Raw genomic sequence first — 18,201 nt, forward strand, 5'->3', positions numbered from 1 at the left:
TGTTTGAAAAGCTGATTCCATATTATTCAATATTATACAATCTAGCTTGGTGTATCAAAAATGTAAACAAATGAAATTTTCTTTTCTAATGTTTTGTCTCAAATATAACATTAAATTTTAAAATTTATAAACACTATTTTTTTTTTTGAGACAGAGTCTTGCTCTGTCACCCAGGCTGGAGTGCAATGCAGTGGCAATATTTCCCTTGAATCTTTGAATTGAGGCATTTTTAGTTAACTAAATATATTTTATTTATTTTAACTTGTTTAATTTGGTTACTATAGGTATATTATTCACTTAACAAATAGCATTTATTAATTTTCCCCCCAAAAGGCTTACAGGAGTAACTACATATTTGATCCAAAAATCTTAAAAAAAAAACAGAAGTTTTCAAAGAAAGAAACAAAAAGCAAGAGAAATACTACCTAGGTAGAAATAAACATGACTATCAAGTAAACATTTTGGTGTTGATATATGTTATCTTCTAGACATATATGTGTTTTCTAGACAAACACATATAATGTAGAGGCATATTAGAATCCCTTAACTTAGAGAAATATTACTATACATGATTGGCAAAAAAAAAAAAAAAAAAAAAGGAATAAGGTTAATTAAGAAGAAAGGCAATAAAGAAAGAAGGGAGGGAAGATGGAAGGAAGAGGAGATGGGAGAAAAGTAATGGTTTGCCAATTTGAGGTAATTCACCTGCCGTTCCCTCCAAGAGAGTTAAATTTGGAATAAGCGTGATATGGGAGAAGCAAATTCAGAGTTACCCAGCATCTTGAAACTTCACATTTCACCAAACTCAGTGTTTCAGTGTTTAAAAATTTCTTTTTCAAATGCAAGTCAATGACTTCATACAGTTTCTCGTTGCAACACTAGGAATCATTTCAGTTTGAGATGGGGGTGCAGGGAATAAATGTTTACAAGTGGTTGAGGTGAAATATGTTGAATTCTAATGTAGGACTTTCAAAAATTATTTTGAGATTGTTTTCTAGCAGATTTATTATTGTATAATTTATATATTTTAAATTTACTTATTTTAAAAGCATAATTAAATCATTTTTAGTAAATTCATAGAGCTCTTCAATTATCACAATTAAAATTTAGAATATTTTGAGGGTTTTGCCACTTTCCAAAATTTCTTGTGTCCATTTTCTTTGCAGTTAATTTATGTTCTCACCCCACCTCCAGCCCCAGACAACCACTAATATGCCTTCTGTCCCTATAAATACATCTTTTTGGACATTTCCTATACATGGAACCATACACTATGCAATCTTTTGCATCTGGCTTCCTTCTCTTAGCATAATATATTCAAGGGTCATAACCATGTGGTAATTTGTATCAGTATTCATTCATTTTTACAGCTGAATAATATTCCAGTATGTATATATATATACCACATTTACTATCCATTTATCAGTTGATACATATTTGAGTTGTTTCCACTATTGGCTACTATTCATAGCCAATTAGCAGTTGAACAATAGCCAATAGTGGAAACAACTCAAATGTGTATGAATAATGCTGCTATAAACATTTGCATAATAGTGTTTGTGTAAATGTATATTTTTTAAAAAATTTTCATGGGCATGTACTTAGAAGTGGGATTACTGGGTTACGTTATAACTTTTTCTTTAATATTTTGAGAAAATTTCAAACTGTTTTCCAAAGTGGCTGCATTAGTTTTTAAATTCACCAGCAATGCATGAGGGTTCAATTTCTCCTTATCCTCACCAATACTTATTATTGTCTATCTCTTTTATTGTAGCCACTAGTGTGCATAAACTGCGACCTCATTCTGGGTTTAATATGCATTTTTTTTAATGAATAATGATGTTGAGGATCTTTTCATTTGTCTAATAACCATTTACATATCTTCTTTAGAAAAATTTCTTTTCAAATTTTTTGCCCATTTAAAAAAATTGGTTTGTCTTTTAATTGTTAAATTGTAGTAATTTTTTGTATGTTCTAGATATTTGTCTTTGTTGGATATGTGATTTGCAAATATTTTCTACCCATAGTGTGAGCTTTTTTCACTTTGTTCATAGCTATCATTAAAGCTCAAAACCTTTTAATTATGATCAATCTTATTCATCTATTTTTTCCTAACATTCTGGTGTTATATCTGGAAATTCTTTTTCTAACACAATGTTATGAAGGTTTTATGTTTTCTTCTAAACATTTAAGCTATTGTGTTTAGGTCTATGATCCATTTTGCATTAGTATTTTTGTATGGCATGAGGTCAGAGTCTAATGCCATCTTTTTGTTTCTAGATAACTAATTTTCCCAACAATATTTGTTGAAAGATACTTCTTCAATTGTATCACCTTAGCAATTTTGTCAAAAATTAATTGATCATAAAGATTTATTTCTACATTTTCTTTTTTCCCATTACATTACATTCTGTTTTCATGCCAGTTTTATGATAATATGTTCTGATATCAGGGTGTGTAAATCCTCCAAGTTTGTTCTTGGTTTAGAAAAAGCATTTAATTCTTGCTCCTTTGTTTTTCCAGGTAAGTTTTAGGATCATCTTGTGGATATCCACACAAAAACTGTCTTACTAACACGTTGATAGAAGTTGCATTGAATCTACAGATCAATGTGGGGAGAATTGTCATCTTGAAAACATGGGCACTCCAGTCCATGAACTTGGAATGTGTTCTCATTTTTTAAATCTCATTTTTCCTGCACAAAAATTTGCAAAATTTTAGTTTATAAATTTTACAAGTTTTAAAAAAAATTATTCCTTAATACTTTGTTCCTTTTAATGCTTCTGTGAATATTACATTATAAAGTTAATTTCATAGGCTATAGTTAGTGTATAAAAATAAAAATTGATTTTTCTATATTGATGCAATTATATATTATTGAGATATGCTGATATACTTTTATATATTGATACATGTTGCTGGAATTGTTTATTAGTTTTGATGGGTTTTAGGAGGAATTCCTTATATTTTCTTCATATAGGGTCATGTCATCTGAAAATAAAATCAGTTATAGAACTTCTTATTTCTACCTTAATTAACTTATTTTATTTTTCCTTTGTCTTTCTTTTCTTTTTCCCTATTGTACCGCCTAGATCCTCCAATATAATGTTTGATAGATGTAGTGAGAGGGCACATCTTTGCCTACTTCCTGATCTTAGGGGAAAATTATTGTTTTTATTATTAAGTACATTGTTACTGCTAGGTTTTTTTTAGATGTGCTTTTTTATGTGGTTTGCCTGTTTCCCCACCCAAATCTCATTTTGTATTGTAATTCCCATAATCCTCACGTGTTGTAGGAGGGGCCCAGTGGGAGGTAATTGAATCATGGGGTCAGTCCCCAATGCTGTTCTGGTAACAGTGAGTGAGTTCTCATAAGATCTGGTGGTTTTATAAGGGGCTTTTCCCTCTTTGCTTGGCACTTCTCCTTCCTGCCACCATGTGAAGGACGTGTTTGCTGCTCCTTCTGCCATGATCGTAAGTTTCCTGAGACCTCCCAGCCCTGTGTAACTGTGAGTCAATTAAACCTCTTTCCTTTATAAATTACTCAGTCTCAGGTAAGTCTTTATTAAGCAGTGTGAGAATGGATTAATACACTTTCTCAAGACAAGGAAGCTCCATTTGGCTCTTTTATATAATTTTTATCTTTTTATTGATACTCTGTTTGATGAGTCATTGTAGTCACACCTTCCTTTAGTTTTTTAACATGATTTTCTCTGGACATATTTATAATAGCTGTTTTAAAGTCTTCAACAACAAAGCCCAACATCTGGATTCCCCATAAGTAATTTTTATTGACTTTTTTTTTGTTTCTTGTGTATAAGTATCACTTTACTGTTTTTTCACTTGTATTAAGATTTTTGAAACTGGACAATTTAGATAATATTTTGTAGCAATCCTGGATTCTTATTCCCACTTCATGAAGGTTTTATTGTTTATGTTTTTTGTTTTGCTTTGTTTAGTGACTTGCCTGGAGCAATCCTCTAGAGTCTATCTCCCACATGCTGTACTGTTACCAGTGATTCTTCAGGGATTTTTTGTGTGTGTGTGTAATTATTGTTTTTATTTTTAAGCCTGGCAGTTGAGGGGTCACTTCTATGTCAGCATATCTTAGTGGTTGGTCAATTATTGCTGGAACTTTTTGCTCAAATCTTTGGTTCTGGAAGCCTTCTATACTTTGCCATTCATCTATATTTTCTAATTTCTTATTTTCTGAAGCCAATATATTGTGGTCAGTCACATAAAAATTCTAAACAAAACATTACCAAGTGGAATATAACAATATATCTCTATCTAAATCTCTCTCTCTCTCTGTCAATCAAGTTAGGTTTAGTCCATAAATTCCATAAATTGGCTTGACATTAAAACAGTATAATTTAACCATTTAATGAAATGTAGGAAAAAAACAATTACATTATTATTTGCATGGATGTACAAAAATCATTTGATAAAATTCAATCCTCATAAACATAATATGAAGTAAAATGGGTCAGACATTGAAGATCACATACTATATAATTTCTTTTATGTATATTTAAAAACAGGTAAAATTAAACCACAGAGTTTACAAATGCAAAATTATTTACTAAAATTATTTAAAAAAACAAACAATTACTAAAAAATTAGGTTAGGGTTTACCTGTGTAAGATAGAAGGTAGTGATTGGTAGGGTACAGGGGGATCTTCAGGATTGGCATTATTTTATTTCTTGACCTAAATGATGGCTGATAGTTCATTTTGTGATAAATAATTGAGTTGTATAACTTTATCTTGTGTACTTTCTCTGTGTTTATTTATTTTAAGTAAAAAGTTATACCGTATTAATTATCTTTATTGCTGTGATGGTTTCATGGGTGTATACATGTTAAAACTTGTCAAATTATATGCTTAAAATAATGTGCTTTATGTCAATTATAAATAAGGTTAATTATAAAGATGTAAAGGTATTTTAAATGTATTGTTTGTTTAAAAAGAACGAGCACTATATGTTTGGTAATAAGCGTAAGATTCTTAAGAAATGAACTTAACCTTAAGAAATGAACTTCCAGGCCTCAAAATAGACTTTTATCTATCTATTATTTGTTTTATTTTGTAGGTGGAAAGAAAACTTTAACTGCACCTGGAAAGGCTGGAGCATGCAATATTTTTTTAAATACCTGATTAACACCTGCTTAAATATTTTCTTCCAATCTTTAATTAAACAGTTAAGGTAAGACTTCATTTTCTAGATATATAATCAGACTGAGCATGAATAATGCTCTACAGCTGCTAATTTCCCTTTCCAAAGACAGAGTTAAACAGAAAAAGGTTCTTTACTTTCTAAAAGAGGGTATTGAAAAACGGCGTTCTTCATTTTTAAAAGAAACAAAAATCTCAGAATAGAAAATATGTACATGTAACTAGAGAAAACAATTGCCAGCATTTTTTAATTCTGAAAATTACAAATACATATTTCTCCTCATCCTAACAGAATTGTCTGAAGAGTCCAAAGTAAAATTTAGTTAGATCATAAAATAATAAGGCCAACAGATTCCTCTCACATATTGACTACTACTGATAATTTAGGATGTACTTCAAAGTCTAGAGAAGGCATTTTTACATTGAGTATATAATGCTTAAGTTAATATTTACAAAATAGTATTTTCAAAAGCATGTTATCAAATGTCTTATTTTCTGATTTGCAGAATTTTAGGGCTTTTTTCAATCCCTTGACTAGTAAATTGTCTTCTTAAATATTGCAATGTATTTGATACAGAAAAAGAAGAAAGATAAAAGTGGGAAGGAAAAACAGAGGAGAGAGTGAGGGAGGGTATATAGAGAGAGGGAAGAATAGAAGTAAGTAATATAATCATCATAACCCCATAGCTAGTTTTAAGGCTAATGGTCACGTTTTAGTTAAGGGACAATACTTTGTTCATCATATGCAATGTATACTAGTGTGACTGAGAGCAATAGTATCTACTTTCTATGTATATGTCAACTTTCTTGTGGGAAGGGAGAGGAAGATGACTCATGGGAATACCTCTGTTCATGTGGTGGCCAAGCACTGATTTCTAGAGCCAGCCTGTGTGTGTTTCCATTGTGTCTCTATGGCTTACTTGCAGTGTGACCCCAGGCAAGTCACTTAATCATGGTACCTCAGTTTTCTCAGCTATGAAACGGGGATAATAGTCATACAACCTCATGTGGTTGTTGTAAGAATTAAAGTGTTCATATATTGAAAGGGCTCAGAACACTGCTTGGCACATAATATGTTCTATGTAAATGTTTGGTATTATTATTTTTTACTATTACCATATGCATGTGATAATTGTTAGTGCTTATTAAAACGAATTTCTTGCAAAACGCCATATTTTTATTTATTTTAAATGTTCGTTTTCTTAACATTAAAACAATCCACCCTACCTGATATGGTTTGGCTGTGTCCCCACTCAAATCTCATCTTGAATTGAGGTTCCCATATTTCCTACATGTTGCGGGAGAGACCCACTGGCAGGTAATTGAATCATGGTGACAGTTACCTCCATGCTGTTCTCATGATAGTGGGTGAGTTCTCGTGAGATCTGATGGTTTTATAAGGGGATTTCCCCCCACTTTGCTCTGCACTTCTCCTTGCTGCTGCCATATGAAGAATGACATGTTTGCTTCCCCTTCCACCATGAATGTAAGTTTCTTGAGGTCTCCCCAGCCCTGAGGAACTGTGAGTCAATTAAACCTCTTTCCTTTATAAATTACCCACTCTCGAGTTTTCATAGCAGTGTGAGAACGGACAAATACACTACCCATGACAATTAAATTATTCCTGTATGGTACCATGAAGCTGTGCCACAGCAAATAGTTTGTAAAAAAGTTATTCTAAGAAATATTGATTTACTCCATGCTGGTATCAGAGGTACATGGATCAATCCAGATTCAAAACCCATTGAAATAATACATCATATTTGATCTCATCCAGTGAAAAATATCTTATAACCTTTAGAATTAAGGCAACTTAAGTGAATGAATCATAGAAAAGCTTGTAAATTTATCGCCTGTTTCATAAAAAGGCCCTTTGGAGATTTTCTGAAATAAATTCATTCCATCCTAAAACTTTTTGATATAAATATTTTCCACAAAATATTAATTTTTAATTAATTTGACATAGTGATAAATGAATTCCAGGTGACATAATGGTAATGTTATCAGATGTTATCTTTATAGTATCCATCTGGCAAAATTATGAGTTACCAATATAATGCTTCAGTGAAGAATGGAGAATAATGCTAGAAGCTTCGAGCAGTCATAAAATAGGAGGAACTGTCTGTGAAAACTATCCCCTTAGACTAGTTTCACTGATACCCTCTTGTAATCTATTAATAAACTATTAATAAGTAATCATAATATTAAGAAAATTAAGAATTAATGAGGCAAGGAAAATATTAATTACACCAAAAAGTATCTGATTACTTCAATGGAGAGTGTATACAATTGTAGTGGATACTGTTTGTGCTCTACCGAGATTAATTTAGTGGCAGGTGCATCCATCCCCAGCTGCCATTAGTGTTAGCTACAAATGGTTCATGGCTGCCTCCTTCTCTGGACAACTGGCATTACCATGAGAGCTACCTCACCAAGGAAGTTCCCTCTCACACCTCATCCCTGACACATCTGTAAACCAGGTACAGCCTGAATCCTTTTCTTAAGCTCTGCTTCTGTGTAGCACAAACTAAGAGACCAGTCTCCTCAAAGACAATCAAGAGGAAAAATATCTAGAATTTAAAGAAGCTGTAAGAAGCCTTGTTTAAATATGATTGTTAGTCCCTGCTAAAGTAGTGAATCAAGTTTTTCTGTTATTATTCCAAAAGAAATAAGTCTTTTTGTACTGTTAGAACACATGGACTACATTGTCTTCTATATATGGAAGCCTAGCAGTGTGTGTGTCTCTGTGTGTATTTGTGTGTGTGTGTGCCTGTTTGTGCACAGGATACTTTTCTGAATCACAATTGGATATAACCCACATGCGTACACACACACACGCACACACACATGGCATTTTGTTGTGCCGTTCGCTGATTGTAATCAGTAAAATAAAATGTGCAAATTCAGGAGAAAATGGACTGAAAAAAGAGTTTCAGCATTATTTTAAACTGTTTCTTTCAAATAATTAATTTTCTATGATTGCTATTTATGGATTCAAAATTTCTATAAGTTGTATAAAAGAAATTAAGATATATCTTTGTCATCAAATAAATATACCTGAGTGAATGTGAGACCACCTCTCAGGACTTGTAACATAGATAATTTATAGGTGGCAAGTCAATTCCCTACAGAACTAAATGTAAAATTGCATTTTATTTTAAAATTGAAAATAACTTTTAAGAATAAATTAAACAAGCCTCTTCTCTTTTACCACATTATCTGCTGCACTGTTAGAAATAGATATTCTTAGTCTGCATGGTTTTAATTCTCAAGAAGTTTGGTATTATTTATATTTTCTACAATATGATCATCTAGTAAGTAAATTCTGTATTGATCTCTGTATGGATTAACCCTCCCCGAGGCACTAAGAGAAGGATAATATAAAATAGATATTAAGAGATGCAAAGAAACATGCTGATTATGTTTATTTGATTTATCTGTCTATTGACTCATCAAGTAAAAAGAAATTGCTCTGCTTGCGTGAATTTAACCCTTCCTACTTATACTTATCTCACCTCTGCCCCCCCATAGGATATTATTGAATGTGGCATAAGGTCCTGGTGGTATATAACTTGTCAGTTGGACAAGTGGTGACTGATAGAATTCCTTAAGGCAGTTAGGGCCTAAAGGTCATGAGAGCAGAAAATAAGCAGAAAAACTGAGATCATTCCCATTTGACTAAACCAGCACTCATGTCAGGTCTCTTTTCTCTCAACTCATTATAAGTAGGATGCTATTGTGCATGTGTGTGAAGGGAAGAAGGGATTACTGGATATTCCAAGTATTCTAATTTTGCTTATTTTTTGTCCAGCATGAGGTTGAAAGGTGTCTAGCATTTTCCAGTGAAGAATGCAGTGGCTAGGAAAGGTTCTTTTAAACTGAAATAGGAAAATAGTCTTAATTCTAACATGAGATGGTTGGAAACACCAAATAACTTGAGTTTGCACATAGACAGATAAAGAGTAATGAGGGAGAACACAGGAGGAAAGGGGAGAAGATTCAAAGTAAGGAAAAGGGACAAGAAAAAAATCTAAACTTTACCTAAAATTGTTGAGGCACTTATGATTTTTGCTGTTACTGAGCTTAGTGGCTATTATCAGTATTCTTATTAAAAATTAACAAGAAAAGTCTGACTATATTTCTGGAAGGCCTGTCAGATAAGATAAAAGAGACTAGGGAGGATATAGGAGAATAAATACAGAAATATCAAACATCAAATATTTAAGAAGAAAAGAAAAATAAATATATGTTGAACATGCCATTATATTGGCAAAAGAAAAAAAATAATATTATGGAAATTGAATTGCTTTAAAGAAAATATCCCTCCCTCCAATTTTCTTATTTTGGTGACATTTTAAGACTTAAGAAATTATTTAAATTTATGACATTCTATGTCTCTTTTAAAGGCTCTTAATACTCTACTCCATGGTGCAAGTTCTCCTAAATATCAAAAGAATTAAAAATAAATATGAAAATATATTTTAAAACTTAACATAAAAAATACAATCACAACATGAAGCCCGGTAGTCAATCCATTAACAGAATATTTTTAAAAAATTTCAGTAGCTTTAGGGGTACAAGTGGTTTTGGTTATGTGAATTAATTGTATACTGATGAAGTTTGGGCTTTTAATGTTCCTGTCACTGAATAGTGTGCATTGTACCCAATAGGGAGTTTTTGCTCTCTAACACCCCTCCCAATCACCTCGACTCTGAGTCCAATGTCCATTATACCATTCTGTATGCCTTTTCATATACATAGCTTAGCTCCCACTTGTAAGTAGAACATGTGGTATTTAGTTTTCCATTCCTGAATTTCTTCACTTAGGATAATGGCCTCCAGTCCAATTCAAGTTTCCACAAAAGACATTATTTTATTCCTTTTTATGATTGAGTGTTACACCATGGAATACTATGGTATATATATATATACATACACACATATACACATATATACACACACACATATATACATATATATACACACACATATGTGATATATATGTGTGATATATAGATACATATATGTGATATACACATATATTTGTGGTCTAATTATATTTTCTTTTTTCATTCACTGGTCAATGGACACTCAGGTTGATTCCATATCTTTGCAATTGTGAATTGTGCTGTAATAAACATATGAGTGCAAGTGTTTTTTTTTTTTTTTTGATACAATGACTTCTTTTCCTTTGAGTGAATATCTAGTAGTAAAATTGCTGGCTCAACTGGTAGATCTACTTAGAATCTTGAAAGAATTTCCAGAAAAACAAGAGGGATGGGAGATGGCTTATGAACAAGATTAGTGAGCTATATATATTTAGCTGCTGATATTTTTGAAACAAGGTGGAAAAACCTTTCCTCCCACACATTCTAGTTCATAACATCAAAGTTCAAGTGAATTATAGTCTAAAAATTAGGCATCCATTTCTCTACTAAAAGATGTTTCTCTTGAGAAAGTTACAATATCTCTGTCTAAGTATCCTTCATATATGTTACTTTTAGAGGTTTGATATGGTTTGGGTATGTGTCCCCACCCAAATATCACCTTGAATTGTAATAATCCCCACATGTCAAGGGACAGACCCAGCGGGAGGTAATTGAATCATGGGGGTAGCTTTTTTTCATGCTAGTCTGGTGATAGTTAATAAGTCTCACGAGATCTGATGGTGAAGATCAGGGAAGTTCCCCTGAACATGTTCTCTTGCTTGCTGCCATTAAAGACATGCCTTTGCTTCTCCTTCCCCTTCACCAAGATTGTGAGGCTTCCCCAGCCATGTGAAACTGTGAATCCATTAAATCTCTTATCTTTACAAATTATCCAGCTTTTCCAAATTATCCAGTCTTGGGTATGTCTTTATTAGCAGATTTGACTTCCATAACACAATTTGGCAAGAACAGAGCATTGAAAGTAGATTTTTGCACTCTGAGAGGTATGGACCTGTTGAGAGCCCAGAAATACATTTCTGTGGAAATTTTTGTCTAGTTCATATTTAGTTTATCAGGAATGTACAAGAACCAAGCTGTGGAGATATAATGAGATTCTCAATTTAGTCCAACACACCAGAAAAGAGCCTGCTGGACACTTAGGTTGTACCTGTCAAATTTTACAATTACAGAGCTGAAGAGGGCATTCCAGTTGGTACTCAAGCAGTTGGTGGATTTAAAAAAAAAGGCAAGAAAATATCTGCAACTACTAGATCTGAACATATTTTATACTAAACTAATAATAATTAAATAATAATAACAAACATGTAGTATATATAAAATAAAAACAAAACATCATCCTAGAAACTTGAGAGAACCATAGCTAAAAAGTTGTCTATTACAAAACTAGGATTTTTTTAAAAAAACAACTTGGTAACCACAGTGCTATGTAAGAAGATATTGCTATGAGGAAACCACAAGGTGAATTTTGAAAAATCTATAGGAAAAAAAAAAGCAGTAAACTGCAATTAGATTTTATTTTCATTAATTTCAATTTTATATTTTACATTACATAGAGCACCAAAAGATTGAAAAAAACAGATAAGCAAAAAGTAGCATTTTTTAAGATCCTTTTATAGGTTATTAGTAAAAGATGGAAATTGCTGAAATCAAATCAGTAATGCAGAGGACAAACTTGTGAAGCTCTCCCAAAAGCAGAGGAAAAGGATTTTTTTAAAAAAGATAAAATTGAAAAGAGAGACAGGGAGAGATCCTTCCTAAAAATCACAGGATTCTTGAAAAAGAAATCAGAGCTGGGAGAAGCAACAGACAAAGATGTAATAAAGTGGAAAACAAAAGCTTTCCTGAGGTTAAAAAAAAAAGCCAAGACAACAGCTGGCAATTTTTGGTAACAATTATATTCCTGCCAACACAGGAATACATATTTAGTGAAAAATCTTTGGAGTATGAGAGAGAGAGAAAGAGAGACAGGAAGACAGAGAGAGTTAGTTAAAGTCAAGAAGGGAAACAAAAACAAGATGGGACACTAGACGTATGTGAAGCCTCTGGCATTTACAGCTACTGAAAACCGGAAACGCAGCCCAAGTCCTACTCAGACTAACATAAATCCTCATGTTAAAGGCCTATTTATCTCAGTGCCTGTTCCTGATAAAATATGTCTGGCTTTCAACAACAAATTTGAAGACATATCAAAAGAAGGTAAGAAAACACAATCTGAAAAAGACAAAAGAAACATCAGAACCAGGTACATATGTGAAAGAGATGTTACAATTATTGTACAGAGAATTTAAAATAACTATCATTAATATTTAATGGATGTCATGGAAAAAGTAGACATGATTCAAGAACAGACGGATAATAAATGTAGAGAGATAGAAAAATTTAAGAAATAATCAAAAGCATATACTGGAAAAAGAAAACCTATAATAGAACTGAAAAATGCCTTTGATGAACTCATTAGTAGACTGAGCATGGCTAATGAAAGGATAAATGAGCTTGAAGATAGATCAAAGTGCAAGGTAAAGAAGAAAAAAGGGTCGAATAAATAGAACAGAATATCCACGAACTGTGGGAACATTTCAAAAAGTATGACATATGTGTAATTAGAATACCACTAAGATAAGAGAGAGGCACTGAAGCAAAAAACTGTATGTATATTTAAATAGTGGTTGAGAATTTTCCAAAATAAATGATAAACACTAAGCCACAGATCCGGAAATCTCAGAGATCACCAAGAAGGACAAATACCAAAACAAACAAACAAAATCAACACATTCAAATTGCAGAAAACCAAAGAGAAAAGAACATCTTTAAAAAAGCAGTGGTGGTAATGGTAGGGGCACTTCAGGTATAGAGAAGCAAGTATAAGAATTACAGTAGATTTCTTGTGAGAGCCATGTAAGCATAAGAGTGGAGTGAAATATTTAAAATATTGAAATATAAAATACACCAACCTAGAAGTCTAAATCCAGCAAAATTATTCTTCAAAAGTGAAAAAGAAAGTCTTTGCAGAGAAACAAAAACTGGAAGGATTAATCTCAAGCAGACATTCCCTGTTAGAATTGTTAAAAGAAGTTCTTCCCAGAAAAAAAAATTATGTAAGTCAGAAACTTGGATCTACATAAGGAATGGAAGAGTATTAAAGAAAAAATAAATAAAGTTAAATAAAATATTTTGGGAGCAGGGTCAAGATGGCTGACTAGAAGCAACAGTGATCAGAGGCTCCCATCAAAGAGAACCGTAACAACTTGCAAATCCTGCACCTGCAACCAAGGTATCCATGTTCTATCATCAGAATGGACTAGGCAGCTGGCATGACCAGCTCCATGGGGAGAGGAAGGAAGAATAGTGTGGTGCAGCAGACCACCTGAGAGAGGCACAGGGCAGGGGACCCCCCAAACCCCAGTCAAGGAAGGCAGTGAGTGAGCATGCTACTCAGCCTGGGAAAACGTGCTTTTTCCACCTGTAACACATGGATTGGAAAACCCCACCCGTGAGCCCATGCCACCAGTGCCTAGGGTCCCAACCACAGAGCTGCGCAGATTCTCAACAGCCACTAAGCTAGAATCTGCTAAAGCCTGCCGAGCTCCAGGAAGAGGGGCGACCAGCACCACACGTGTGGCTGCCTGCAGTCTAAGCCATTTGGGCTCCTTGGGAGAGGGGCGACAGCCAACGCTCGGACTGATAGCGGCCTAACACACTAAGCTCCCAGGGCAGGGAAAAGGTGGCGGCCATCTTTATAGCTCAGGGCCACGCTTTTCCACTGCTGGAGTTGGGGAGGCTGGACAGCTTGGTCCCGAGAGGTATCCCGCACAGCCTAATACACTGGCTGTGGCAGACTGAGGACAGAGTGCCTCCAGTCCTGACCCTGACCCATCCCGCCTCACTCGGCAGGGCCTCCCTGCAGGAACTCCAACAACTCCAGCCAGGGGTTCAGGGACGGAACTCTGATCTCCTTGGTCCTGAGCCCCTAGTGGGAGAGGTGGCCGCTGTCTCCACAGACCAGCAGACTTAGTCTTTCCTCCTGCTAGTTCTGAGCAATCTGGGCAGCCCAGAAGAGTGGGTTTCCCCGGGGTGAAGCACAACTCCTCCACCAAATGACAGTCAAAGTGTTTCGTCAAATGGGTCCTGCTCCCTGTGGCACTCAACTGGGTGAGACCCTCCAACAGGAGTTGACAGACACCCTGTACAGGAGGGTTCCTAATGGCATCAGGTCAGTGTTCCTCGAGGTCAGAGATGCCAGAGGGAAAATCAGATACCATTCTCCAGCCTCCTTGAGAGGTAACTCCAGGCACAAGAGTGAACCAGATGAATAGCGCCTGAAGTGAACCCTCAGCAAACTGCAGCAGCCCTACAGAAGAGGGACCTGACCATTGCAAACAAAACAAAACAAAACAAAACAAAACAAAACAGAAAGCAAGAAAAACAGCATCAACAAAAAAAAGTCCTCACAAAAACCCCATCCAAGGGTCAGCAGCCTCAAAGATCAATACTAGACAAACTGACAAAGATGAGAAAGAATCAACAACAACAACAAAAAAAAACGCTGAAAACTGAAAGGCAGAGTGCCTTTATTTCCCCTCCAAATAATCACAGCACCCCTCCAGCAAGGGCTTAGAACTGGATGGTGGTTGACACAGATGAATTGACAGAAGTAGGCTTCAGAAGGTGGGTGATAACAAACTACACTGAGCTAAAGGAGTGTGTTCTAACAGAATGCAAAGAAGCTAAGAATCTTGATAAAAAGTTAGAGGAGCTGCTAACTAAAATAACCAGTTTAGAGAGAAACATAAATGACAAAATGGAGCTGAAAAACACAGCACAAGAACTTCCTGAATCATACACAAGTGTCAATTGCCAAATCGACCAAGCGGAAGAAAAAATATCAGAATTTGGAGACCATTTTGCTGAATTGAGGCATGCAGACAAGATTAGAGAAAAAAGAATAAAATGAATGAACAAAACATCCAAAAAATATGAGATTATGTAAAAAGACTGAACCATACAATTGATTGCAGTACCTGAAAGAGACGGGGAGAATGGAGCCAAGCTGGAAAACAACCTTCAGGATATTATTCTAGGAGAACTTACCCAACCTACCAAGATAGGCCAACATGCAAATTCAGGAAATACAGAGAACTTCACTAAGATACTCCACAAGAAGATCAACCCCAAGACACATAATCATCAGATTCTCCAAGGTGAAAAAGAAGGAAAAAATGTTAAGGGCAGGCAGAGAGAAAGCTCAAGTCACCTACAAAGGGAAGGCCATCAGACTAACAGCAGACCTCTCCATAGAAACCACACAAGCCAGAAGAGATTGGAGGCCAATATTCAACATTCTTAAAGAAAATAATTTTCAACTCAGAATTTCATATCCAGCTAAACTAAGTTTCATAAGCGAAGGAAAAATAAAATCCTTTCCAGACAAACGAATATTGAAGGATTTCATCACCACCAGCTCTGCCTTGCAAGAGCTCCTGAAGGAAGGACTAAATATGGAAAGGAAAATCCAGTACCAGCCACTGCAAAAACAAACCAAAATATAAACAGCAATGACACTATAAAGAAGATGCCTCAACTAGTGTGCAAAATAACCAGACAGCATCATGATAACAGGATCAAATTCACACATAACAATATTAACATTAAATGTAAATGGGCTAAATGTCCCAATTAAAAGGCACAGACTGGCAAATTGGATAAAGTGTCAAGAACAATTGGTGTGCTGTATTCAGGACACCAATCTCATGTGCAAAGACACACATAGGCTCAAAATAAAGGGATGGAGAAATATTGACCAAGCAAATGGAAAGCAAAAAAAAAAAAAAAAAAAAAAAAAGCAGTTGTTGCAATCCTAGTCTCTGACAAAACAGACTTTAAACCAACAAAGATCAAAAAAGACACAGAAAAGCATTACATTAATGGTAAAGGGATCAATTCAACAAGAAGAGCTAAGTATCCTAAATATATATGCACCCAATACAGGAGCACCCAGATTTATAAAACAAGTTCTTCGAGACCTACAAAGAGACTTCGACTCTCACACAATAATAGTGGGAGACTTTAATACCCCACTATCAATATTAGACAGATCAACAAGACAGAAAATTAACAAGGATGTTCGGGACTTGAAGCTCTGGATCAAGTGGACCTAATAGACATCTACAGAACTATCCACCCCAAATCCACAGAATATACATTCTTCTCAGTGCCACATGACACTTATACTAAATTTGACCACATAATTTGAAGTAAAATACTCCTCAGCAAATGCAAAATAATTGAAATCATAACAGTCTCTCAGACCACAGTGCAATCAAATTAGAACTCAGGATTAAGAAACTCACTCAAAACCACACAATTACATGGAAATTGAACAACCTGCATGATTCCTGGGTAAATAATAAAATTAAGGCAGAAATCAATATGTTCTTTGAAACCAATGACAACAAAGAGACAATGCCCCAGAATCTCTGGGACACAGCTAAAGCAGTGTTTAGAAGGAATTTATAGCACTAAATGCCCACATCAAAAAGCTAGAAAGACCTCAAATCGACACCCTAACATCACAATTAAAAGAGCTAGAGAAGTAACAGCAAACAAATCCAAATGCAGCAGAAGACATGAAAGCACTAAGATCAGAGCTGAACCAAAAGAGGTAGAGAAACAAAAACCCTTCAAAAAAAATCAATGAATCCAGGAACTGCTTTTCAGAAAAACAAAAAAACAAAAACTATTAGCTAGACTAATAAAGAAGAAAAGGGAGATGAATCGAATAGACACAATACAAAATAATGAAGGGGATGTAAACACTGATCCACAACAATACAAACTACCAGCAGAGAATACTATGAACACCTCTACGCAAGTAAACTAGAATATATAGAAGAAATGGACGAATTCCTGGACACATAAACCCTCTCAAGACTAAACCAGGAAGAGGTAGAATCCCTAAATAGACCAATAAAAAGTTCTGAAATTGAGGCAGTAATTAATAGCCTACCAACCAAAAAAAGCCCAGAACCAGACAGAGTCACAGCCAAAGTCTATCAGAAATACAGAGAGGAGCTGGTACCATTCCTTCTGAAACTATTTCAAACAATTGAAAAGGAAGGACTCCTCCATAACTCATTTTATGAGGCCAGCATCACCCTGACACCAAAACCTGGCAGAGAAGCAACAAAAAAAGAAAACTTTAGGCCAATATCCCTGATAAATATCAATGCAAAAATTCTCAATAAAATACTGGCAAACCAAATCCAGCAGCACATCAAAAAATTTAGCCACTATGATCAAGTCGGCTTTATCCCTAGGATGCAAGGCTGGTTCAACATACACAAATCAATAAATTTAATCCATCGTATAAACAAATCAATGACAAAAACCACATGAACATCTCAATAGATGCAGAAAAAGGCCTTTGATAAAATTCAACATCCCTTCATGTTAAAAGCTCTCAATAAACTAGGTATTGATGGAACATATCTCAAAATAAAAAGAGCTATTTATGACAAACCCACAGCCAACATCATACTGAATGGGCAAAAGCTAGAAGCATTCCCTTTGAAAACTGGTACAAGACATGGATTTCCCTCTCTCAGCACTCCTGTTCATCATAGTATTGGAAGTTCTGGACAGGGCAATCAAGCAAGGGAAAGAAATAAAGGGTACTCCAACAGGAAAAGAGGAAGTCAAATTGTCTCTGTTTGCTAACAACATGATTGTATATTTAGGAAACCTCATTGTCTCAGCCCAAAAACTCCTTAAGCTGATAAGCAACTTTAGCAAAGTCTCAGGAGACAAAATTAATGGGCAAAAATTACAAGCATTCCTATACACCAACAATAGACAAGCAGAGAGCCAAACCATGAATGAACTCTTATTCATAATTACTACAAAGAGAATAAAATACCTAGGAGTTCAGCTAACAAGGGATGTGAAGGACCTCTTCAAGGAGAACTACAAACTGCTTTTCAAGGAAATAATAGAGGATACAAACAAATGCAAAAGCATTCCATCCTCATGGGTAGGAAGAATCAAAGAATCAATATCTTTAAAATGGACATACTGACCAAAGT

General features: G+C 34.7%; 1 long non-coding RNA gene across 2 annotated transcripts in view; it reads left to right on the forward strand.

The window, feature by feature from the left end:
• The window catches only part of LINC02161 (long intergenic non-protein coding RNA 2161), a 213,063-nt gene that overhangs the window by 182,947 nt on the left and 11,915 nt on the right, over positions 1-18,201 (forward strand). For both annotated transcript variants that reach the window (XR_948556.3, XR_948557.3), the window contains exon 2: positions 5,092-5,205. This is a non-coding gene — a long non-coding RNA (long intergenic non-protein coding RNA 2161). The remainder of the gene's footprint in view (positions 1-5,091; positions 5,206-18,201) is intronic.

This window comes from Homo sapiens, chromosome 5 (assembly GCF_000001405.40).
Source record: "Homo sapiens chromosome 5, GRCh38.p14 Primary Assembly".
In the NCBI taxonomy this organism is placed as follows: Eukaryota; Metazoa; Chordata; class Mammalia; order Primates; family Hominidae; genus Homo; species Homo sapiens.